Raw genomic sequence first — 25,001 nt, forward strand, 5'->3', positions numbered from 1 at the left:
TTGAGACAACAAAGTATTGTATAGATTTAACACTGGAAGCTATACTTCTAAGAGAGATTTAAAATAAATACCTCATGGTCCACTGTTTTTTTTTTTTCTTGAGATGGAGTCTTGCTCTGCTGCTGAGGTTGGAGTGCAATAGCACGATCTCAGCTCACTGCAATCGCTGCCTCCTGGGTTCAAGCGATTCTCCTGCCTCAGCCTCCCGAGTAGCTGGGATTACAGGCGTGTGCCACCATGCTCAGCTAATTTTTTGTATTTTTAGTAGAGACGGGGTTTCACCATGATGGCTGGGCTGGTCTCAAACTCCTGACCTCGTGATCCGCCTGCCTAGCCTCCCAAAATGCTGGGATTACAGGTGTGAGCCACTATGCCTGGCCGGTCCACTGTTTTAAACACAAATACACACCTTTTTTGTGTCTTACCATTCAGGGTTGAATATTTGGTGGAATGTTTTAAAGAGTTAGATGTTACATTAATCCTTTGTATTTTATGTGAAGAAAATGTATTCATGCTAAAAATAGTTTTCAACAATTTAAATATTTTGAGTGTGTATATTGTAGATGAGGTGAAATGTTTACAAAACAAGGATTCAATTATAATGGGGAAATACTAGAAGAATACATAAATTTACAGATTGAAACATATTTATACCATTTTGCACATGCTTGAAATATTGTGTAAAACAATTTGAAGATAAGTCCTTTGGACTTTTTTGCTTTCGTATGTCTGAATTATCAATACGCACATTTTCCACCAATAATTCTCCATGTCAGATGAGGACATTCGGAGAAGTGTGAATGAGATAAAAACGAGGTGCTTAAGACATTCTGTTCAAACGGATAGAGTTCATTTACTGAATACTCCTGACCGGTTCCTGGAGTTCAGATCCACACCTAACAAATTCCCAAAGTTCTTCAGACCTCAGCAAGTCAAAATACGCTACGGAAATCATTTTTGACAAGAACTCTCGGGCTAAGCTTTAAGTAATCAGTATCTGGTTAGGACAGGAATCACCCAGTATCCTGTGGAGGAAAACAGCCGACATGAAGGCCATTTCAGCTTTCCCTCTTCTAATCATGCTTTCTAACCTACTGCCAATTCGCTCCTAGGCTGTCCTCGATAAGGCATGCCGTAGGATTACGGGAACCCAAAGTTCACGAATGCAAACTTCACGAGGCTGCCCGGCCCCATCCTTTCCAGAAGATCATATCTACAGCAAAACGGTGCTTTATCCTAGAAATCCCTTTTCAATCCAAATCCTAATGGAACTCCTTGACAACCCCTTGACTAAATTACATTAGTAATATAGTTCCTAACAATTTCCTTTGTTAGGAAGGGGAGCAAAAGGGCAAAAAAAAAAATCATTTTTTTAAAAAAATAATGAAAATTGCAAAGGCTTAAATACTGAAAGAATTGCTTGCCTCTACAACAAATCTGTATCATTACTAACAAGCGATAAAAGGCCTTCCGATGGATACCAAATGAGAACCTTCCAGAGGGCCACGGGCGCCCAGCTGGAAACCCCTGCTAAGAGCATCTGCAGTCTGAACCCACAGTGACTGCGCGTCTTCTCTGGATGCCATTAACAGACCTCTGCGAAGGGAGGCTTCGGCTGCTCCACGTCAGCTTTAGGATTGGTACGTGGCCCTTTCTTTGTTTATCTGATTTGCCTTTAAATCTTACAATGGCAACAAGTGTCTCAAGTAGGATTGTTGAGGACAGAGAAACAATGCTCAAATGTCCTTTGAACAAAACCAAGAGCCCACCCTGCCGACGACCCTGAAACCTCTCCTGTCTGTAAGTGGCGCACAAGCGCCACCTGGAGGGTGCAAGGCGCAACCATCGCTCTTCTCAAAGTGGAATTGGTCTGTGTTAGGCTGAAGAGATTATTTTATTTTAAAATGCTTCCATTCCTCCACTGAAAAAATTTAATATAGTCTAATTATGAATATGGAGAAGGTGGAAAAAGAAAAATCCTCGGGTGCCTTAGTCATTAGGGGAAGCAGGAAATAGAAACAAGCGTGAGATCTGGGGGCACATTACCTGGGCTCGAATCCTATCTCTGCAGTAATGTACTCTGCGACCATGGAAATGTGCTTGAATGCCTGTGTCTCCGTTTCCTTATCATTAAATTTGAGATGATATAATTTACCCACCTGAGGTGGATATGAGGAGGAAATGATTTTATATATCTGTGATGCATCTTGTACAGTACCTGGCATATAGCAACTGCTCCACAAATGTTAGGTATAGGCATAGACTTACCAAGTCTTTTCCAGTTTTTTCCTCTCTATGTAGAGGTATTGCTCTGTTACCCTGGTAATTTTTTTTTTTTTTTTTTTTGAGACAGGGTCTTGCTCTGTCGCCCAGGCTGGAGTGCAGTTGCATGACCTCAGCTCACTGCAACCTCCAACTCCCGGGTTCAAGCGATTCTCCTGCCTCAGTCTCCAGAGTAGCTGGCTAATTTTTGTATTTTTAGTAGAGACAGGGTTTCTCCATGTTGCCCAGGCTGGTCTTGAACTGGTCTCAAGTGATCCCCCAGGCTTGGCCTCCCAAATTGCTAGGACTTACAGGCGTGAGCCACCACACCTGGCTCAGGTACATTTTTCTTATTGGTACTACCACTAGGCCCTAGGATATTATCCTATATTTGAATATGCTTGATACATAATCTTATTTCACCCCACTCCCTCATCTTCGACTCCAATAACTTTTTCTATTTGGTTTCAGATTAAAGCTCAGATTTGGTTCTTCACTGAATAGGGTTTGCCTATATAGAGGTGCTCCTTAACAGCACTGCTTTCTAGTATAAGCATGTCAACACAGGTTTAGTTATTTAAAATGCATATCTTATATAAACCAGATAATCCACAAAAACACTCGTGCCATATTCCCCTAAAAGAAATGTGTTGCAGGCATATACCCATTGTTACTTCTCTTGCTTGGAAGTCCTGCAAAAGCTCTTACTTACACATGGTACTGCCAAATATCCTAAAGTTCTCCAGTTAGAAATAGGTTAGAAATATACCGAGGAGTTAGAAATATACTGAGGAGAACCAAGAGAACAGTTTTGATTAGAGTCTGAGTCAGTCAACATTGCACATATATAAAACTTCTGTCTAAGAATAGGTAATTTATCTATCCTGGCAGAGCATTTCATGAGGGGCACCGCTATTGTGAATAACAATGGACAGCCACCTCCCTTGGGCACAACCCTTTCCTCGGCTGATGGAACAGCAGGTGGAAAGAAGAGCAGGCACACGGTGGATAGCTCCTGTCCAAATAGATTATCACACAAATCAAAAGGTGGACTATTGTGGGGGAGGAATTATAAAATATATTTCAACACATTTTAGGTATTTGGCAGGATTCTGTTTGGGTTCACCATCAGCTTTCTTATAGGGCCTTGGCAAATGCAGTTTCCCTGACTGCTTAGAAATATTTATGATCTTGGGCTTTTTTCTACTAGGCAAAACTGGAATTATGAATTCTGCACAGTATAGGATTCATAACACCGCAAACTTTTCTAGCCCGTTTAATCTTTATTTCACAGGCCTAGCTTTTCTATGGAAGATACCGTAGTGAACAAATAAACAAAGTGGATTGAAATTCGCCCTGCTAATATATCCAGGAAAGGAATCGTTGGGAGGATAGTTGGATGATTATTGGAACTGGCAGGTCAGTGAGGGCAGCAGACTCTCAAAGAGCATGAACATGCTGACCAATTCATTAGAGACTCTACAGCCCAAATTGACCCCAATTTAAAATGTATCCAAATTTTGGCATGGGAAGTATTGTATTAAGAAATAAGAACAAACTAGCAGAGTTTGTTTTCAAAATGAGGGAGGCATAGATGAAAAATGGCTAAAGGCTTTTTTACCCTTTGAAAAATCTGTCCCGGCTATGCGCCCCCCGTGGACGCTTCCTTTCCCACCCACTCCTTTCCTGCTTTCTTACTACCAGAACCCAGGGTCCTTTTAGGTCTTGTGCCTAGGACTTGCAAATGCCTCGGGTGAATAAGAATGCTTTTCCTGTGTAAGAGCACAAGACATTTTAGGAACAGGAAAAGCCTATCCGGTCCAACATACCTGCCCTTTTTAGGTTTATCTAAATCCCACCTTCCTGCATTGTTACCTTCCTTCATCTTCCTATATAGAGATAACATTTCTTGTATGTTTCTCATGATCTCTCCTGTCACTAGACCTGATAAAATTAGACCTATATTTTAGTACCACTCTCGTTAAAACAAATGATTTCTGAAAAGAGTTCGCAAGGCTAGTAAACAGTTTGTAATTTTTCTTTTTTAAGAGTCATAAACCATGAGTTTGAAAGAGGAGACTCCAAAGAAGCTTGACTTGGAGGGACGCGGAGGTCATCCGGCTTGACTTTGTGCTTAGCTTTTATTTATGAGTTATCTTATTTGCCAGAATCTGGGTACCAACATTTTCTCTCAGAGTGTTCAGTGACGAGGGATATGTTTATTTGGGATAAGACTCATTATGAAGAAAATATGCAGGTGGCTAAAGATTAATTACAAGCAGCAGAGGCCTGTTAAAAAGCTTAACATTCTCTGAGCCCTTCCTTGCCCCCTGTTTCACAGTTCATATCTGGAATTTACAATAGAGTGAGGTAAGCCACCCGCCGTCATAAAGAAGGTGAGATATTTATTGAACAGATGTTTCATTACTCAAGAAAATTCACATTTTCAAGTAAAAAGCCAAAAGATGGGCCTTCCACCCAAGTCCCTGAAAAAGATTCTTGGCAGCATTTATATTTAGTGCCTACAAGTTTTACGCACTGAGTTTTTACTGTTTAGATGTGCGGGTCAACAAATCACTGAGAAGACACCAAAACTGTCTGCCAGATGTCGACCACTGATTAATTTGTCTTAAGTTCAGCCAAAAGGGAAGAAAATATGATGGGTGGAGCATGAACAGCAAGCACAATCAACATCTGACCAACCAGGGTTTCCTGTCACCTTGGGAACAAAATTGATTGGCACTGGTTTCCTGTGTACAAGTTAAAAACCAGTAGCAACTGCAGTAACAAGAATAAACTACAGATAAGAGACTTGGAAATTAAATCAAGGCACATCACCAAAATTTCAGCTTGCAACCCTAAGCAGAAAAGTTCCAAGAGAACTTTTTGAGGGCTTTTTTTTTTCCCCTTTTAAGCTATTTTGTATGTAAACTTAATTTTTCTAATTTTGCCACTTCTGGCAATCTGAAATCATTAAAAAGGACACAATTCAAATTTATGTTAGAGGTCATAAATTTTGCCCAGGACTCAATATTTTCTCATTTTTCCAAAGATAAAATCTTATTTATGCATTATAGCGACTTGGTTTTCACTTTATCTTGAATTATAGCTTTTAAGAGGCAGAAAGAATCCTTTTTATAAGGACAGTCTCAAGTGTACACACAGATTAAATATTACAAATATAGGTTGCAAATAAAACTTTCAAAATGTGGGATTATAGGAAGCAAAAGAGAACCAACCAAAGCATCAACAAATTTACCTTTTTGTTTTTTTTAAAGATTTTTCTTATTTCCTTAGCTGCTTTTGCATTAGCATTAAATAACATTCTTATTGGAGTGGTATGTGCATGGCCCAACTCAATTTTATTTGCTTTTAGTGTGAATCTGAAGTTTTATTTTTTATTGCTTTATTCATTTATTTACAGAAACTTGTTAAGCACCTAAATATGTAGAGGCATGTCTATAAATTAAGGAGCATGGCAATTTGCTCTTTATTTTTAAAAATTCACAGTGAGAGACTCCCCAAAATTAGACAAACACACAAAAAAAGATACAGATTTTTGAGGAAGAATGAAATAGGAGAGCAAAATGTTTGCAAAATATGCTTTCTTTGATAGTCTAAGTTGGAAGTTGTAAAAAATGACCATTTTGGTTATAAGAGGTTTTTTAAGTTACTTCATATCCTTTCATTCTATTCTTCCAATTTCAGAATCACTTCCAAAATGTATTCATTCATTTTATAAGTGTATATAAATTGCAAAATACTCCTCATACTGAATTTTAGAATTCATGCTACTTCTGCTGTCACTACCAGTATAGTGGTTAAGAGTGGATTATGGAGCCAGACTGCCGGGGGTTCAAATTCAGGTTCTACCCTTTAAGACTGTGTCACCTTGGGCAACTTAACCTGTATGTGCCCAGTTTTCTCATCTGTAAAATGGGGATACAACTTGTGCACGTGCTTCACTGGAATTCTATGAGGCTTAATTGAGATAATATGTGTGAAACACAACAGGGCTTGATAACGTAATAAATGCAACAGTGTAACTCTTAACTGGTATTATTAATGTTTTTTATTACTACTGCACTGCTATTGCTGCTGTTTCTGCTACCAAGACACCTTCAGTGCTACTGCTACCCTTGTTGCAGCTTCCTCTGTGTTTCTGGCCATTGTAGTGATATATTCTCAGGTTGTTGCTATTACTGACCCCTATTGGTAGTTACCACTGCTACTGCTACTGTTACAAGTAGTGTTGGTGCGTGCTCCTGCTGCAATTGCTATCATTGCTGTTACTATTATTAGCAGTTACTAGAGGTGTAGTGTGTGTATATATATGTATGTGTATGTAAGTCTGGATATATATATATACACACACACACACATATATATATTTATATAATGTTAATGGTGGCTATTTTGGTGGTGCAACTGGCTAGGAAATAATCTTTATTTTTGTTTTTGCTTAAATATGCTTTCAAAATTTCTATAAGATGTGTTATTTGCACAGTTCATTTAAAATTAAAAATATTAATAAGGGCTGGAGAAATATTGAAATCTCATATTCGTCAATATTTTGTACTGCCTCATGGCCTATTCCACCTTCCTGAGAAAGAAAGGGTGTTGAGTGCACCCTGCCCCGGTATGAGAAGGGCATCTTATATTATATCCTCCTATTATAAAATAAGCATGAAGAGACAGGGCTGGGAGACATGATTTATTTGCCATCTAGCTATGTACTAAGAGCATACGAGACATTCAGTCACTGACTGATTTTGTTATTTTTATCTCATGTCAAAATTTTCCTCACTTATCTTTATGTTTAAGAAGAAATATTTTTGATAAGAGGAGAGATTTTTGTATGTTTTAGCCAAACTATTCTCAGGAGAATGCCCTTGGGTTGGCCCATAGCTCAATTGTGAACAATTACCCTGACATTATCCTGAAAACAATCCCACAAGTTCTACTAAGAATAAATAAAGCACAATAGAATAAAATTATCCACCAAATCTAGGAAAAGCAGCTATATTTTAGCCAGGAAATAGAAGTCCCCCCACCTCCCCAATGTATTAAGTTCTTGTACTTCTGTCAGCAAAGAATTTAGCACATGGAAAAATTCAGATTCTCCAGTTATTGATTTGGGGACTGATTATTAGGGGGAAAAAGTACCGAGAGCCAACTTAGGTGAGTTGTTGTACCCTGACAATTGTCCTTGTGGTACAAATGGTTTTAATAGAACAGAGAAAATGGGGGAAAAGAATTAAAAAAAATTAGAATTGGTTATTTCTTTAGAGTAATGGTAAAACATCCCTTAGTCTATTTATTTTTTACCTTTACCAAGTGTTACAAAATTTTAAACGTCAAAGAGTTAAATATCTGGCTCTCTGAGACATACAGGCCAATATTTCTAGACTCTGTCAAATTCTAGGATGAATGCACAGCCCTGGTTGAAGGTAAATTCAATGATGTGTCTCTCTTCGCTAAGGAGGGACATTACTGCGCCTGTTGAACCCTAAATAGTAAAATCATTGTCAATACTATTGCTTATAATGTACACATCATAGATAGATGATGATCACAAGTGATATTTTTCAACATCTTCTTTGTATGACATTACCCAGAAGATCCAAGCTAAAACCCAGTAAAGAATGATGCTTTTTTTTTTTGCAGTCTGCTTTATGTTTTTGCAAAACATTTTACATTACACTTGTAAAATATATACATATGTATATATTTTAGTCAACTTAATTCAAGAAAATTATACAAAAAATCTAATTTAATGCAACAAAAACCTATCATATGCCCAGTTTTTAGGGCAAAATCAGGCTTAAAATTTGGGTAGAAATTTAAGGCCCTAGAAATGTATGTACAGTGGTTGACAATTTGGGGTCTGGAGCCAGGCCACCTGTATTCTATATTTATTGCACACCTCTCATGGCCAATTGGATGCCCTTGAGCAAGTGACATAACCTCCTGCAGCCATGGTTTTCCTTTCTGTAAAATGGGGAAAATAATGATAGGGTAGTTTTGACTCTTATGAGTTATACATGTAAAGTATTTATAACAGTGCCTGGAATGTAGTAAGTGCTTGATAAATGTTATCTGTTATCAGTATCATCATGGGATAGTCTGCATTTAATTTTTTTTTTTTTTTTTGAGACAGAGTCTCACTCTGTCACCTAGGCTGGAGTGCAGTGGCGTGATCATAGCTCACTGCAACCTCCACCTCCTGAGTTCAAACGATTCTTACATCTCAGCCTCCCAAGTAGCTGGGATTACAGGTGTATGCCATTATGCCAGGCTTATTTTTGTATTTTTAGTAGAGATGAGATTACACCATGTCTCTGCTAAAAGGTCTTGAACACCTGGCCTCAAGTGATTCACCAGCCTCGACCTCCCAGAGTGCTGGGATTACAGGCATGAGCCACCACGCCTGGCTGCATTTACAAAATGCATTTCTTCCTACTTATTCCCATTTTTTTCTCTCCAATATTTCTAAGATTTGTATATTTACGCAGGGGATGGCTAGGGGAGAGAAGGGGGAAAGTGGAATAAGCTTTTGGAATTTGGAAGAAAGAACATGTATGTTAAAATTCCTATCTAGTATTAAACATAAGTCACATATTCATTATTGTGTATTTGATCATGTACAGCATATATTGTCAGACTTCGGTATCGTGGAAGAAGAAATCTTGAAATTGTCTCACAAATTTTAAGGGTTTTGTGCTGTCATGGAAGGATCCTAATTGGATGGAACTAAGTTTTGGTTCCTAGTCCCGATTTTTTTTTTTCTCTCTCAGCAAAATAAAACACTCAGGCACTTATTAATTCAAATGTCCTCATGGACAGAGGTTTTTGCTAAACAACTATTGCTTTCTCTGGGAAACTATAGTAGTTTCCAGAAAAGGGATTGATTGAAGACCTTAATTATAAAGATAAGGTAAAACACAGCCTTTAAAATGGGTTATAAGAATTAAAAAAACCAGAATTAACTTCTAAGCATAAATGTACATAACTTATGAGTTAATTTGTTAAAAAATTATCAAAGAAAAATTCATAAAAGAAGCTATCAGATACTTTTGTATTGTGATCAGGTTTTCCAAGTGGCCAGTAAAAAGTGTGTCTGAGAGTATTTTCTAGAAAGAATTGAAAATTTTATATTAGTTATGAACAGCCCTGGGAAACTCTAAAGATGTCTTGGATACATTGAGGGGAATGATAGGTGGCAGAGAATACTGCCTAGCTACATCACTGCACCAATAGAGGACTCAGACCCAGAGTCTCATAGAAAAATGCATCCAAACGGCACAGAATGGCCAAAACGTGAGAAAGACACATGTACTTGAACATCACATGATCTACTTCACCCTCAGGTCTTTGATTTCACTTGAACATGTTTAGCCCGAGCAGACTGTCTGAGTAAACAACTGTATCAGTGGTAATCAAACTCTTTTCAAAGCTGGGGGCTCTTGGTTAAGAAAGAAAATAAGATCATACCTGTAAGTCTAATAATCAAAACAAGTGCATGCAGAGCTCAGCTCATTGAGGCATCAGAGAAGGGCCCAGGCCCCACTAGCCTACCTCTTCCCTAAGGCCCCATAGAGCATAATTGAAAAGTACTGATTTATCAAAATGTGAAATAATCCATAGCTAGCCATGAATCCAGCTACAGTTCTATTGTTGAATAACCCAATACAGGTTGAGTATCCCTGTATCCCTTATCCGAAATGCTTGGGACCAGAAGTGTTTCAGATTTTGGATTTTTTTTTTTTCAGATTTTGGAATATTTGCCATACATATATACAGAGCTCAGCTCATTGAGGCATCAGAGAAGGGCCCAGGCCCCTTCTCTGATCTCTCTCTCTCTCTCTGTCTCTAGATATATATATATGGCAAATATTCCAAAATCTGAAAAAAAAACAAAAAATCCAAAATCTGAAACACTTCTGGTCCCAAGCATTTCGGATAAGGGATACAGGGATACTCAACCTGTACTGGGTTATTCAATTATATATATATACATATATGTGTATATATATATATATATATATGTATGTATGTATATGGCAAATATTCCAAAATCTGAATATATATATATATATATATATATATATATATATATGCCAGTTGAGGATCCCTAATCCAAAGATTCAAAATCTGAAATTCTACAGTGATCCTTTCCTTTGAGCATCATGTCAATGTTCAATAAGTTTTGAATTTTGGAGCACTTTGGATTTTGGATTTTTGGATTAGGGATATTCAACCTGTACTGACAGATGGCTTCCTTCAATTCTCAAAGTTCTTTGTAAACTAATTAGTTAACTTCTTTATCTCCATTCCTTGTCCACACAACACTAAAGAGGATGCCTTCTGGCACCAACAGCCTGTGATCCTAACAATTTTAGTAATGAATATGGCTATAGGAACCCAGTATAATAGAGTAGGTAAGAGCTGTTGGAATACTACGGGGCCAAAAATGAAACTGATTTTAGAAAATTATTAGAAAAGCTTCCAGGTTTGCAATCCATGAGTTGTTTCAGTTCTAGAACTCTGCTTCCAATAAGGGTTATGGCCACTGCTTTCACATCAGAGGCTCTGCAACAGCTGTAGAGTTATGGGAACATCCTTGCGACCTGGACCAGGGAGACTGAGATTACAGTTCCCAAATAGGAATAATTTAAATACAGATTATAGAAATATATACTAATATAAATATATTCAAATACACCATAGACATTTAAATATATGCATTTAAACTTAAATGTATTTAAACACATGCATTTAATGAATATATTTAAATATGTTATACATGTTTGCATATATGTGTGTATATATAGATCTTTATACAGATTACATGTAGAGATGATCTATTTGTATCTATCTGTCTATCTATCTATCTATCTATCTATCTATCTATCTATCTGAGTATCATCTTTCCCCAACCCTGGACCAGAGCTGTTGAAGCTGAATTTGGATTGGACTCTAGAATATTTTCCATCTGGAAAGTCTGTTTAGATAGGAATATCTAGAAATATTACAAAGTTTCCCTAGAGGACTATGTTAAATGAGTTTTGGGGACCACTACTCTAAGGTTTCTCCCAACTGTAAAATGCTATATTTTTGGCCTTTTGAGAGGCCCCCAGCTCTAAAATATTAACACTTACTTCTAGATTATAACTATGCCCACCATAACCACTTTTACCAACAGTGAGTGGGAATGAAGGACGAAATTAAGCATTTATTAAGGTCTAATGTACACCAGGCACCTTAATAGGCAATACAAATACATGGACATGGCAATAAAAAAGAGACATCCTTACCTCCAAGCAGCTTACAATTTAGTTTACTGAATTACACAGTTTACTTTCTTATGAAGAATCATAATGATTTAAGAAAAAAAAAACCTGAGGAGTCCAATAACCATGTTCAAGCCATGTTTTAATTATTTTACTTGTTATTTCTATTTTGAGGATTTTGACGTTCTAATGTCATTTGATATTTTTCATAATGTCATTTGATATTTTTATCCTCTTGGGGGGATACAACTAGTGGATGACAAAAAAACAATGAAAAAATAATAATTCCAAGCAAACTATTATTGACATTGTGTTAAAGATTTTGTGAGACACCCTGCCCACACTAGATTTCACTAGTATCACCCTAGAGGATGTAAGTTCTAATGAGAATTTCTGTCACACCCAAGCCTCGATTTTTACTTTTACAGTATAGTGCTGTTTCACTCTGCCACCTGCAGGTCATATATGGAAGAACATATTTAAATTAGAAGGCCTGGCTTGGTGGCTCACTCCTGTAATCCCAACACTTTGGGAGGCCAAGGCAGGTGGATCACCTCAGGTCAGGAGTTCAAGACCTGCCTGGCCAACATGGTGAAACCCCGTCTCTACTAAAAATACAAAAATTAGCCGGGCATGGTGACGGGCACCTGTAACCCCAGCTACTTGGGAGACTGAGGCAGGAGAATAGCTTGGACCCTGGAGGAGGAGGTTGCAGTGAGCTGAGATCATGCCACTGTGCTCCAGCCTGGGTGACAGAGCAAGACCCCGTCTCAAAAGAATAAATGAATTAAAAAAAAAAGGTAGAAATCAGAGGCCAGGCACAGTGGCTCATGCGTGTAATTCTAGCACTTTGGGAGGCTGAGACAAGAGGATCACTTGAGACCAGGAGTTGGAGATCAGCTAGTGAGACCCCCATCTCTGCAAAAAATAAAAGAATTAACTGGACATGGTGGCATGTGCTTATAGTCCTATTTACTTAGGAGGCTGGGGCGAGTGGACTACTTGAGCCCAGGAGTTTGAAGTTACAGTGAGCTAGGATCATGCCACGCCACTCCAGCTTGGGGGAGAGAGAGAGAGAGACAGAGAGAGGAAGGAGAGAGAATGAGAGAGAGCAGAAGGAAGGAGGAAGGAGATAGAGAAAGAGAGAGGAGGGAGGAAGGAGAGAGAGAGACAGAGAATGAAGGAGAGAGAGAGACAGAAGGAAGGAAAGAGAGAGGAAAGAGAGAGGAAGTGAGGAGGAAGGAGAGAGGAAGGAAGGAGGAAGGAGAGATAGAGGAAGGAGAGAGAGAGGAAGGAGAGAGAGGAAGGAGACAGAGAGGAAGGAAGGAGGAAGGCAAGAGAGAGGAAGGAAGGAGGAAGGAGAGAGAGGAAGGAAGGAGGAAGGAGAGAGAGAGGAAGGAAGGAGGAAGGAAAAGAAAGAAAATATACTTTAAAGTGAAATAAACAACTCTCTTCTATGAAACTGTGATGGAAAGTTAAACCATTGGTCAAGATTATAATGATTACCTGGATCAAAAATTTGGATGGAAGAAAAATCCCTCCCCAGAAATGAAAAAAAAATGTTGGAGTTTAAACATGTACAAATAGGAAAGCAATGGTAAGGACAGTCACCCCTCTACACAATGTTCAAAGATGAGGAAGTATTGCCTCACCTGGAGAAACTTGCAATCGCCTTGTCTGAGACCTCTCTCTAGATTTCTAGACCATTCTTTCACTAATATGGAACCACTCAATTGTAGGATATTTTCTTAAGTGTCTTGATGCATATTTACGCTGTATTAACAGGTTCAGGATAGAGTCTCTTAAAGTTTACAAAGTTTATTCATTAAACAGGAGCAGAGGGGCCACGACCACAGACCTTAAAAACCAATTGGCCACATAGGGTGGTTGGATAATTTAAGCACCCGTGAAGGAGGTGGCAAGTGAGAATTTCTCCCTTTCTCTGGGCTTTCTAGAATCAACTGGATGTTTTAGAGCTGAAATAGACGAATATGTCTAACTCCCATGAGTAAGGCTAACTCTGTATCATTCAGTCAATTTTTAGAGAACCTCTATTATGTGTGTGGTATTAGGAAGTAGGAAAACAAAAACGAATAAGCTCTCAGGAGATCCTACTGTGTGCACGTGTGCCTACACACACATGTGTGAGTTCTTGATGGGGTCAGGGAACAAGAGAGGTAATTTAGGATGGTTTATTCCTAGATTCTGTATTTTTCTATGTATCGGATGGGAGAAGAGAATTTAAGGACAGCAACACTGATTTTAAAAAGCTGCCTTGGGCAATGAAAAAAAGAGCTGCCTGGAAAAACGGACAGGTGTTTGAGTAGGGCTGACCATCCTCTGGAGACTGACAAGATGAAGGATCCACATCTGAGGTATATTCCTTCAGGCAAAGTGGGCCTCTGCCATACTTTGAATGTATTCATTCTCATAGATCCTTTAGTACTTCATCATTTTTACTCTTATTTTTGATTAAGGTGGGTTTAAAATTCCAACTTTTTTTTCTTAGAAACCTTAAGTAGACTAAGGATTCTGTCAGGAAAAAATATTCCTCTGAATAGGGATTTGGTAACAACATGCTAAGTTAGGAGCCAACGTAACAAGAGTAAAACAAATGATTCAGAAGATCATATTCACAGCAGGGACCGTGAGGGTTTTAGGAGCTCCCCTCAGAGCCCCAGGTGCAGCGTGACATTGCCAAGGACATGCAGGGAGCACAGCTCCAAGGGGCTCCCTCTCGATGTCTAATGAGGCCAGGCAACCTGCCAGCACCACAGGCTTCTGTGGGGCAAGGGCGAGGTGGTGGTGAGCATCCATTTTTTTTTTGTTTGTTTTCCTCCGAGGCAGAGTCTTGCTCTGTTGCCCAGGCTAGAGTGCAGTGGCATGATCTCAGCTCATTGCGACCTCCGCATCCTGGGTTCAAGCAATTATACTGCCTCAGCCTCCCAAGTAGCTGGGATTACAGGCGCACGTCACCACGCCTGGCTAATTTTTGTATTTTTAGTAGAGATGGGGTTTCACCATGTTGGCCAAGCTGGTCTCAAACTCCTGACTTTGTGATCTGACCACCTCAGCCTCCCAAAGTGCTAGGATTACAGGCATGAGCCACTATGCCCGGCGCATCATCTATTTTTATTTTTTTAAAACATATTTCTTCCTATAAAATTAACTTGATGTCCAAGAACTTGTTCCTTTTTTCATATTGAGATTTAACAAATATTTATGGAACACGTACAAGGTGGTAGGCATTGTGCTACAGACACCGCCTTGAGGGAAATCAAAGCCGAGAGGGAAAACGCAGGAAATGAAAAGTAAGGCAGGTGGGATGGGGAGGGCCTGGAAAAGGGGAGAATCCTTGAGGGCTGTGTTTTAATCCATGATTTGGAAAAAAAGGTTTCCTTAAATAAACAAATGTATACACTATAAGACATTATTAGGGAACAATAATTTCATTTGATACACTGTTGTTAAAATTACTTAAAATAATGAGAAATGAAAATGATTGGATGCCAAGCATTGTTAGAAAGTATATCATATTTAAAAGTGTTCACAAGAATTTGTCAATTCTCAAGTTAAAGCTGTTTCATCACTACACTGAGACCTGTTTTCTAAGGTATATACCAAAAAAAGATTATGCCTTACCCGCCAGAGAGGACGCTGTCATAAAAAAAATACAAACAAACAACAACAAAAAAAAAAAAAAAAAAGAAAGAAAAAAAGAAAAATTATGGCAAAAAAAAAAAGAAAAAAAAAGAAAAAAAAAGATTTCACCTTTCTTTTCCTTCCATGAGACAAGGGGCTAACAACTGTGTCAACATGAAGTTCTCCACTAGAGGGAACTAATTCCACGTCCTCCAATCGTGAGCTTCATCAGGATGTGTCTGAGAACAGTGCTCTCTCCATGTTTAGATTGTACCCAGATAATCATGCTGCATTGCTAAATGGGAACGACACTTTAAAGTGGTTTTTATAAGATTTCCAGAAAAAGATAGTTTTATATTTATATAAATAAATTGAAGTGTATATTTTATGTTACAGAAAAAACCCACATCAGTTGAAAAATAATTGTGTTCAAGTCGCCTGCCATGAGTAACTTGTGATTCTTCACTGTTCTGCTCTAGAGGTCATGTGCTAATATCTGGGTGAATTTGATGAGAGGAGAGTGGTGCCTCACTTCCCAGGAAAACAATGTTTGGGCAGTTCATAAAATGCACATAGTGGGACCCTGAACTACATAGCTTTATGACACATTTCCAAAAACTCCTAAGGCAAAAGTCTCTGGCTGCAAGGAAAAACCTCCTGACACAGTATCTAAGATTCAGAACTGGTCGCTCTTAAAATAGGAAGCAAAGCTTATGCTGGGAATTATCTGTGCCTGCCCTGATTAAAACGCTTCTTCAGAACAGGCCATTTCACCTAATTCTGTCAACCTATACATCAAGATTTGGAACATGGTCCCCTAGCAAAAATAAAAAAAAATCTCATTTTAAAAAGCACTGCATTTAGTACCCTCCAAAGTGAAACTCTAATTAATCACATGTAGAGGAATCAGAGAATTTGAATCTCAAAAAATTGTACCACGACCACCTCTTCTTTAGGGTCAAGACAAAAAGAACTTTATAGAAATGCACACCCTACTGAATTGCCAAAAGAGTTCCCAGGGTAGTTAGATTTTGTCCCCCATGGTATGAGTGCAAATGGAGAGTACCCTGTAAAGCTGGAAGCAGTGTCCTGGATGGGGTTGCAGGCTAATGGATGTTGAAGGATTGTTGGGGGTCAGGGTGGAAGGGCTGAGAAGTCCTTTCTGCTTGAACCTCAGGGTGAAGCAGCCTGTATGAGGGGTGGTCTGGGGGCAGATACAGCAGTTAGAGGACTCAGTGGGACTTATTCCTGCTGCTCTGCCAGGGACCACAAGTAGAGAAAGGGAAGGCAAGGAAAGGAAAGGAGCAATTACTGTGATTCCTCTTAGAGCCACTGCCAGGTCTACACTTTCAGGACTCATTAGACTACAATGGCTTAAACATTTCAGGGTCTGCTTGGAGAGAAATTATGCCAGGCCTGTGCTTTCCAATGAGTAGTGGCCAATTTTTACCTTTTTAGGCAAAGCTCCTCTACTTTTAATTCTTAAATAATATATGTTGGCTCCTGTTTTACTCACCCTGGGTTGTATCCACTGTCATTTCTTTCACTTAACAAGATTACATTTTTGTCTCATGACGTACCATTAATTTTCAGGCAGGTTTCAAAACTTTTGCCTCCTTTTTCTTCATTCCTGTGGGGTCTTTTATTTTTTTAGAATAAAAAACCCTATGAAAATTTTGTTCATAACCCTCCAGAATTCCAACCTACCTATATAAAATCTGACAAATAAAGAGAACAGCTTGATGCTCACTGTTCATGAAGGGCTTGTGCATGTTTCCAGTGCCTCCCTCAGCTCTGGACATCCCCATACAAGTATAAGAATATGAAAATATTTTATAAAAATGTTAGAAGGTGATTAGTCCGTTCTCACACTGCTAATAAAGACATACCTGAGATTGAGTTAATCTATAAGGAAAAAGAGGTTTAATGGACTCACAGTTCCACATGGCTGGGGAGGCCCCACAATCATGGCAGAAGGTGAAGGAGGAGCAAAGGCATGTCTTACATGGCAGCAGGCAAGAGAGTGTGTGCAAGGGACCTGCCCTTTATAAAACCATCAGATCTCGTGAGACTTATTCACTATCATGAGAACAGCATGGGAAAAACCTGCCCCCATGATTCAGTTACCTCCCACTGGGTCCCTCCCATGACATGTGGGGATTATGGGAGCTACGGTTCAAGATGAGATTTGGGTGGGGACATAGCCAAACCATATCAGAAGATTAAAATTTTGTCATCTGTATCACCTAGAAAAAGGTAAGACATGGTAGTTACGTGCAGATTTTGTAAGCAGGTTGTCAAGATTGTATCTTTGGCTAGATTTTTATTTCTTTGTGACATTGAGCATATTACTTATCTCTCTAAGTCTCTCTGTTAGCATAACTGCAAGATGGGCATAGAAATACTGCCTGCCTCCAGGATGTTGTGAAGGTTGTCTGAGATCATACATAAGCACAGTGGTTGGCAGGTGGCAGGTTAGTGTCCAACCCATCAGCTGTGACTCTGCATCCTTCTATTACAGCAGCACGGGCAGCAGCTTAGTGCAGGCATGACCATGTGCTTCTCTGCTGTTCCTGCCACCTCCACTGACAATCACACACACAATGAAGTGGGCGAGTTATTATGCAGGATGTTTGAACAATATGGAGACCACTCCATCCTTTTCTGACTTGAGTATTCTGAATTATTGCCTTATAGCCCCCTCACTTTGGCTTCTTTGCTCTATTCGTGTTCACCTTCCTCTTGGTCATTTATGTCAGATTACCACCAGGCCTCCAGAATGGCAAAAATCAGATTAAGGAAAAAACTGAGACAGACAATGTGCTTCTAGAATGGCAGTGAAATGGTTATCTGTCATGAGTGTTTTGAGTCCACCTCATGAAATTGCACTTTGCTTGATTTAAAATCTGAAAAATATTCTGAAAGCCAAGCATAAAATTTGCTAAGAGGAAAAACAGTGTGACGCTCCATAATATACCTACTTGCTAAATATACTGATTTGTAGTTTATTTTAAAATTGATTTCCCACAGATTATAGGTGTGTACGCCTCCTCCCAACCCCCAAAGCATGCCAATTTATTATTAATTAGGAGTACAGCCTCTGGAGCAATACTGCTTGGGTTCGCATTCTATTTGTCACCCTCACAATCCTACTGACTTACTATTAAGTTATTAGGGCCATAACTTATACTCTCTGAGCATGAGTTTCCACTCTAAGGAGGGGATAAAAAGTCCCTTGGGTTGGTGAAATGAGATAATGCATGTGAAGGGTCAACAGGGCATACTGAGTTGTTATTTTTATTGATGTTATTTGGAGTTAAACTGGAATTTACTTCTACGTGTTTGCTATATTTTATGTTTATAAGCCCTCATGTTGTCAGGCTGAGCAACTGAGTCATGGTTGATAGACTGTGTTCAATGGGGCTGGGTCATAGGTTCCAATAGAATGAATGGTGTTTATTTGAAGGAGGCCGTGTGGTACGTGTATAATGGCCTGGGAAAATCAAAGGAACCTGGAGTGTAAACTTAGCTCTGCTGCGACCTTTGGCAAGTACAGTAATGCTGTTGGTGCCCCACCCAGGTCGCCTTTCTCCAGCTGGTGCCCCATCCTCTCCTGCCCCACTGCTGGGAGGGTAGCCTGTTAGTGGTGCCCAGCTGCCACTTCGCTGGAGCAGCCCCCTCAGCTGATGGGTGTTGCTGAGCCAGAGGTGCCTAGGAAGTTATGCCTCCACCATCCCTGGGTGGCCTGGAGTCAGTGGTTGGCTGGCATGAGGGTGCAGAGGCTCAGCCCCCTCACCTCAAGGTGAGACAACTGTCCATGAGGGGCCACTCATGCTCAGAGATCCCTGTGCAATCAGGCTGAGGGTAGATGGCTGCTACCACCACCTCTTTGCTTGTCCTCTTCTCTGTTCTGCTTGCCCTGCTTTCCTAATAAGCTTCCCCTGAGAGCATCTTCTCAACACATCATTTGGACAAGAGCCCTTGTCTCAGGCTGTGCTTTTACAGAACCTCACCAAAGACCTAAGAGAAAGATTCTGGGCCCCATTTTTATTTGACAGAAAATGAGAGAGTTGGATCCATTTTCGATTATGGGTCTATTTAATGAATATCTATCTATCTATCTATCTATCTATCTATCTATCTATCTATCTATCTTTCGAGACAAAGTCTCGCTGTTTTGCCCAGGCTGGAGTACAGTGGTGTGACACAGCTCACTGCAACCTTGAGCTCCCAGGTTCAGGATATCCTCCTGCCTCAGCCTCCTAAGTAGCTGGGAGTACAGGTAAACACCACCATGCCTGGCTAATTTGTTAAAAAATTTTTGTAGAGACGGGGTCTCACTATGTTGCCCAGGTTGGTCTCAAACTCCTGGCTTCAAGTGATTCTCCTGCCTTAACCTCCCAAAATGCTGGGATTACAGGCGTGAGCCACCATTTGCAGCCATGAATACAGATTTTAACTTCCAGGGTATTTTTTACACTTTATGCTCTGATATGCAGTCATATTAATTCTATTCCCTTCTCTTTACTCATATGTCCCAAAAAGAGATCAGTGGAGGAATGATTAAAGATTCTCCAAGTTAAAATCTTTAAGCATCGAAATGTACCTCTACTAGGGAAAGCGAGGCAGATACATCAGGACATTCTGCCTTGCCAGGAGGAAATTGTAATACACAAAATCTTTTGAGTTTGAATGTAGAATGGTCAACATTTTCATGGCATGTACTGTCTTTTCATTGCTTCCACCATTGCAGACAAATTTCTAGTTCTGATAAAAATCTCCCAAGCTCAGCAACCCCTAAGGAAACCTTTAGACTCACAATCCTGGGTGTTATATCATTTTCACAGTATTTATTGTAAATCATAACATGTATACCCTATTATGGTACAGCTGAAGAAAAGTTAGTGAATGTTTGTTCGTTGGATATCAGCAACCCTTGGGGGCCTACTGAGACCTCCGTTTTGATAGAAAAAAACACCCATTAATATCATAGTCCTGATGGCCCACCAACTGATTACTGAGAAATGAAGTCAGGATGGAGAGTGCTATATTACAGTGTGCCACTCTTCCTTCCTGGACAGTTTTCTACCTCTCCTTGCACAGTGTTTACTTGTAATAGAAAATCAAGTGAGAAAAATGAGGAAATAATGTGAACATATCCAATTTGCCTGTTGATTTCCTTTCCATAAAATTGGCCATTAGCCGTACAGTAGCCCAAAGGGAAAATGTGCAGAATCTTTCAGATTCATAAGTTCTAGAAAATGTACTTTCTAGAGTTTGAATGTGATTCCTCATTTAATGGGAATTTGGAACTCAGCATGTATACAATTTCCCTTAGAGTGATCAGTGGAGCATTTTGGGAGGGCAAGGATGGGACAAAAGACAAGAGGGAACATGAACTAACTGTGGCCTCACACTGTGCCAGCCATGTGACATTTGTCATGTAGCTTAACTGTCCCAAGAGCTGTGCAAGGCACATGCTATGCTCCTCAATACAGGTGAATAAACAGGTTCCAACTTATATATGTGGTAGTTACAGAGCAAGTGTTTGAATTTGTACCTGGACTCGCCATGAGAAATGAATGCATTTGTTAGACCAGAATTGATTAAATTGATACTGTTATTTATTAGATAACATTTACTGGCCAATTTATAAGTATGTACTTATAAATTACATGTAACTGTATATTTACAAATAGGATGAACAAAACTATGTTAATTGACAGTTAAAAATATAATGTTATATGACAGGCTCAACTGTAGCAATTCAGTAGAAAATTAGCTTCAACTCCTGAGTTCAAAAGTATAACTGACCTAGTGTAGGCTTGTGAAATGGAATCAGAGAACAAAAACAAAAAGAATATTAGATTTCCTTTTCCTTCTCAAAGACACCATGCCATTTTGTATTGATTGTTAATTTTGTAGTATCCTTTGAAGGTGGAGCAGATATTATTTTATAGATTGGGAAAACTATACTACAGAGGACTTAATTAATCCGTTGAGCCACTTATTTAATAAGTGTCAGAGGTAGTATTAGCTGAGACTCAGGTCTATAGTTTATCATTAAGCTATTGGTTCTTATGGAAGATTCTTTAGAAACAGACGAGATCTTCAGATGTGAAGCAACATTAATTAACTCCATAATATTTTTGAGTGTTTACTATGTACCAGGGTTTACAGGAACCACAGGAGACACAGAGTATCTTGAGCCATAGTACCTGTTCTTAAAATTCTTGTCATCTGCTGAAAACACAAGACAAACCACTTAAAAACCAGTTCAAGTCCCTTTCTGAATGATTGTTCAATTAAAGTCATTGCCAGAGGAGTGGTATATCTGAGAATTTATAGGTGTTATACATCACTGTGGGCACAAATAGGTTACATGGCCAGTGGTAGGGGGTAAGTTTTGTGTTGGGCTCTGGAGACTAGAGATCGGTAGGCTGAGGGAAGAGGAAGGACCAGGCAAACAGAAATGCAAATGTGGACAGGAGCGCAGCACTCAGAGGGGGATGGGGATGGAAACAGAGAGCATGGAATAGAAGGTTTATTTTAGGATGTAGTTGCAAATGGATTTGGAGCAAATGATCAGGGCCAGATGGTATAGGACATCTGAGGCCCAACAAGATGGTCTATGCCTTATTCTGTAAGAAAATGGAGCCAAATGGGGATTTTTGCACAGCAAAGTATGATAATGAAAGATTGTTATAGCAAGATAAACCTGAAGACTATTGAAGGGGGAAAGAGAATTAGATGCAGACAGATAAGATGAAATAAAATAATATATATGAAACATATTACATATATTAGTCCTAATATCATTTGTACAATTATATGACACAACAATTTAATCATGAAGTAATGAGAGCTGGGTCCAAGGTGATGATTACAGAAAGAGATAATCAATAATGAGAAAGTTGGAGGAGCAAGAATCAATATGATTTGGCGATTAGTTTGAAAAAGGGAGAAAAGAAGACTGAATTGCTATGTTTCTCTTTTTTTTTTTTCTTTTTGAGACAGGGTCTCACTCTGTCACCCAGGCTGGAATGCAGTGGCACAATCTCAGTTCACTGCAACCTCTGCTTCCCAGGCTCAAGTGATCCTCCCACCTCAGCCTCCTGAGTAGCTGGGACTACAGGCATGCACCACCATGCCTGGCTAATATGTTCTTCTTTTTATAAGATTCTTTAATCTTCATAATTTCAGAGTGTATTCTTTATACTCAGTTAAGCAATCCATTTAGTCTCTAGATCTTATTTGACTTATCTTTTAATTTTAAAATTATATTTTATGATTAATGATATCAAAGTGATAGATTCTCCCAATCAGGGATGAGAAATTTATATGACATGATCCAAAAGATTGGGACAAGTGACTTATAATGCAGTCTTTATGGTCTCCTGGTGATTTTAATGAAGCCATACTTTTATGCAATAAGTAGAAGATTATTACCTCACTCCAGGATCAAAAGATGGAGAGCTATTAAACATGAGCCTATTTTAAAGGCACCATTAGAACACACATATATATATATAAATTAAATTTTAAGGCTTAAAACTGCCAGAAAAGCTTTCTGCATGGAACACTGTACATTCTTCAAATTTGGTCACTCTTAAAACTCTTCATTATGCCATCTTGGCAGGGAATTGTGGTAGAAAAATGGGAGTGAGAATAGAACAGGAAGGGATGGTGGAATAAGCAAAGTGTTTCCCAGTAACTGCTGGGAGTTAACCTGAGGTTAGTCATAAAAAAGAATCATTAATTGGTTAATTCACTCATTCAGGCATTTATCTCCAGGAGCTCCTGGTTTCCAGAAATTATGTTCTATATGTAACAGATAAGGAGACAATTCAATCATATATGTGTCCTCAAGAAGCTTAGAGTCTATTGGCTACAACAGATTAGTAAACCAGAACTTAAAGACAACAAAGAAGTGCTATAAATACTGTATGCACACTGGGTTATGGAACTAAAGCAGCGGGGAGCCTCCATACAGAAGAGAGGTAGCTGAATCAGTAGTGGGCTGGAGGAAGGAGGAGGAGGCAGAGGGAGCCTCAAATTGGCTTCCAAGAGGAAGTGATGCTTGAATGCCCCTCCCTGTATTCCTACTCCCTCTTTCACCTTTGGACCTTTGCTGTATTCGGGCTGCCAGGGTTTTTTGGTGTTTTATTGCATTTGAAGAAATCTGAGAGCAGAAAGCAGGGAAATTTGAGTCCTGTCATGGGCTTTGTGTTCTAAAGGCCAGGACTTTGGTGGAAGGTGGCGTCTCGGGGTGTGGATGTCAGATAAGGTAGAATATGAAATAAGCCAGAGTAGGGTTTTCTATTCCCAAAGCCTAAGAAAACGCCCATGGGCTCAGGGGAGGGTGAAGTGTTAGAACGGCTGCTTTGTGGGTGCAGGTGAGACCCCTGGATCCTTCACCGCTGAGCCCTGGGAAGTGGGGGACCCTCAATAGGAGGACTGTGATCCTTGGTAGAGCCATGAGAAATGGCTGGAAAGTGTTTCTGGGGGATCATGCCTTAGATATGCCCAGGTTTTCCTATGCCTCCATTTGGGGTAGAATAGTGAGATGATTCTTGGGCATCTAACAGTGGTTTGGATACAACTGAAAAAGAGGAAGAGAGAGAGAAAAGGAGAAAGCAACTGCTGGAAATGAAGGGGCTGCATGAATAGCAACAGGGAACAACATGGTGGTAACTGTCCTGGGAATACTTATGAGAACCAAAGAGATAATGGACATTTTAGCAGATGACAATGTGCACAGATGACATCAAGGCAGATAGGGGCCTTACTCTTCATGTTGAGAAAGTCTCCTTAAAACGTAGAGGAAACCCTAGGAAACCAGAAGTAGGTTAGATGAATCAGAAAAGGGCTGAGATTGAGTTTCTACCATTTAGGTGAAATGACATCTAGCAAAAAAGCTTAGGTTGAGTTACAGAAAAATAAAATTGCATTTCTTGTTTTTTTGATTTGTAGACCCAGATTCATGCCCACTATATTGGTGGTAATTTTCAAGGGCAAGGAGTAGGGAAAAGGACAGGTTCTAGGCAAGTATTAATTCTTAGGCTTAAAAGAGAATGGCATGGTACCTGGAAAAATGTCCAAGTAGCAGGATGAGTCCAAGGGGGTGTTTAGCAGGAAATAGGGGTCAACATAGGCTGCCAAAGGCCAGATCAGAAAGGGCTTCATATTTCATAAGTAGAAGTTATCAGTTTCTTCCTGAAGGCAGTGTGGAAACACTGAGGAATTTTATAAAGAGAAAAACACTCAAATATAATTTAGAAAACCAGTTTAAGAGGTCTAGAGAGTGGACTGGAAAAAAACAGAATTCGAGGTGGGGACCAGGAGGAGACTGGCTAGAATTAGGGAGATCCTGAGTTCTCAGTGGGATTGGGGTTGGACGGGGGAAACAGTTGGGAGAAGGTGCCAGGTCTTCATAATGTTCGGCTATATGGGGAGGGGAAAAACAACACGGAGAAGCTGAGGATATTACTGGTTTCAGAGACTCACAATTTAAAAAGAAGAGAAAGGATTTGATGAGGAAGGTCTTGAGTTCCATTTCTGAATGTTGTAAGTTGGTAGTGTTTAAGAAAGGTCAGAGTAGTGACACAGAGTTCAGAGCTGAAATATGGGTCTGGATTTCAACAGAAAGGTAGATTGAGCTAAAGGTACTTTTTCAGGAATCACTAAAAGGTGGTAAGATAAGAAGTGGCCATGGTTGGGTGATTCAGGAAGGAGAGAAGAGGACACAGAATGAAACTCTGAGGTTAACAAGAGAAGGGAATCTGGAGGAGACCGAAGGTAGCC

The 25,001-nt window shown here is 39.5% G+C and overlaps 1 protein-coding gene and 1 long non-coding RNA gene across 10 annotated transcripts in view; one reads left to right on the forward strand and one right to left on the reverse strand.

The window, feature by feature from the left end:
• The window catches only part of PTPRR (protein tyrosine phosphatase receptor type R), a 282,666-nt gene that overhangs the window by 80,111 nt on the left and 177,554 nt on the right, over positions 1–25,001 (reverse strand). The gene's annotated exons all lie outside the window — the stretch shown is intronic.
• The window catches only part of LOC124902960 (uncharacterized), a 54,602-nt gene continuing 30,613 nt past the window's right edge, over positions 1,013–25,001 (forward strand). Inside the window, exon 1 of the long non-coding RNA XR_007063361.1 lies at positions 1,013–1,640. This is a non-coding gene — a long non-coding RNA (uncharacterized LOC124902960). The remainder of the gene's footprint in view (positions 1,641–25,001) is intronic.

Source organism: Homo sapiens, chromosome 12 (assembly GCF_000001405.40).
Source record: "Homo sapiens chromosome 12, GRCh38.p14 Primary Assembly".
In the NCBI taxonomy this organism is placed as follows: Eukaryota; Metazoa; Chordata; class Mammalia; order Primates; family Hominidae; genus Homo; species Homo sapiens.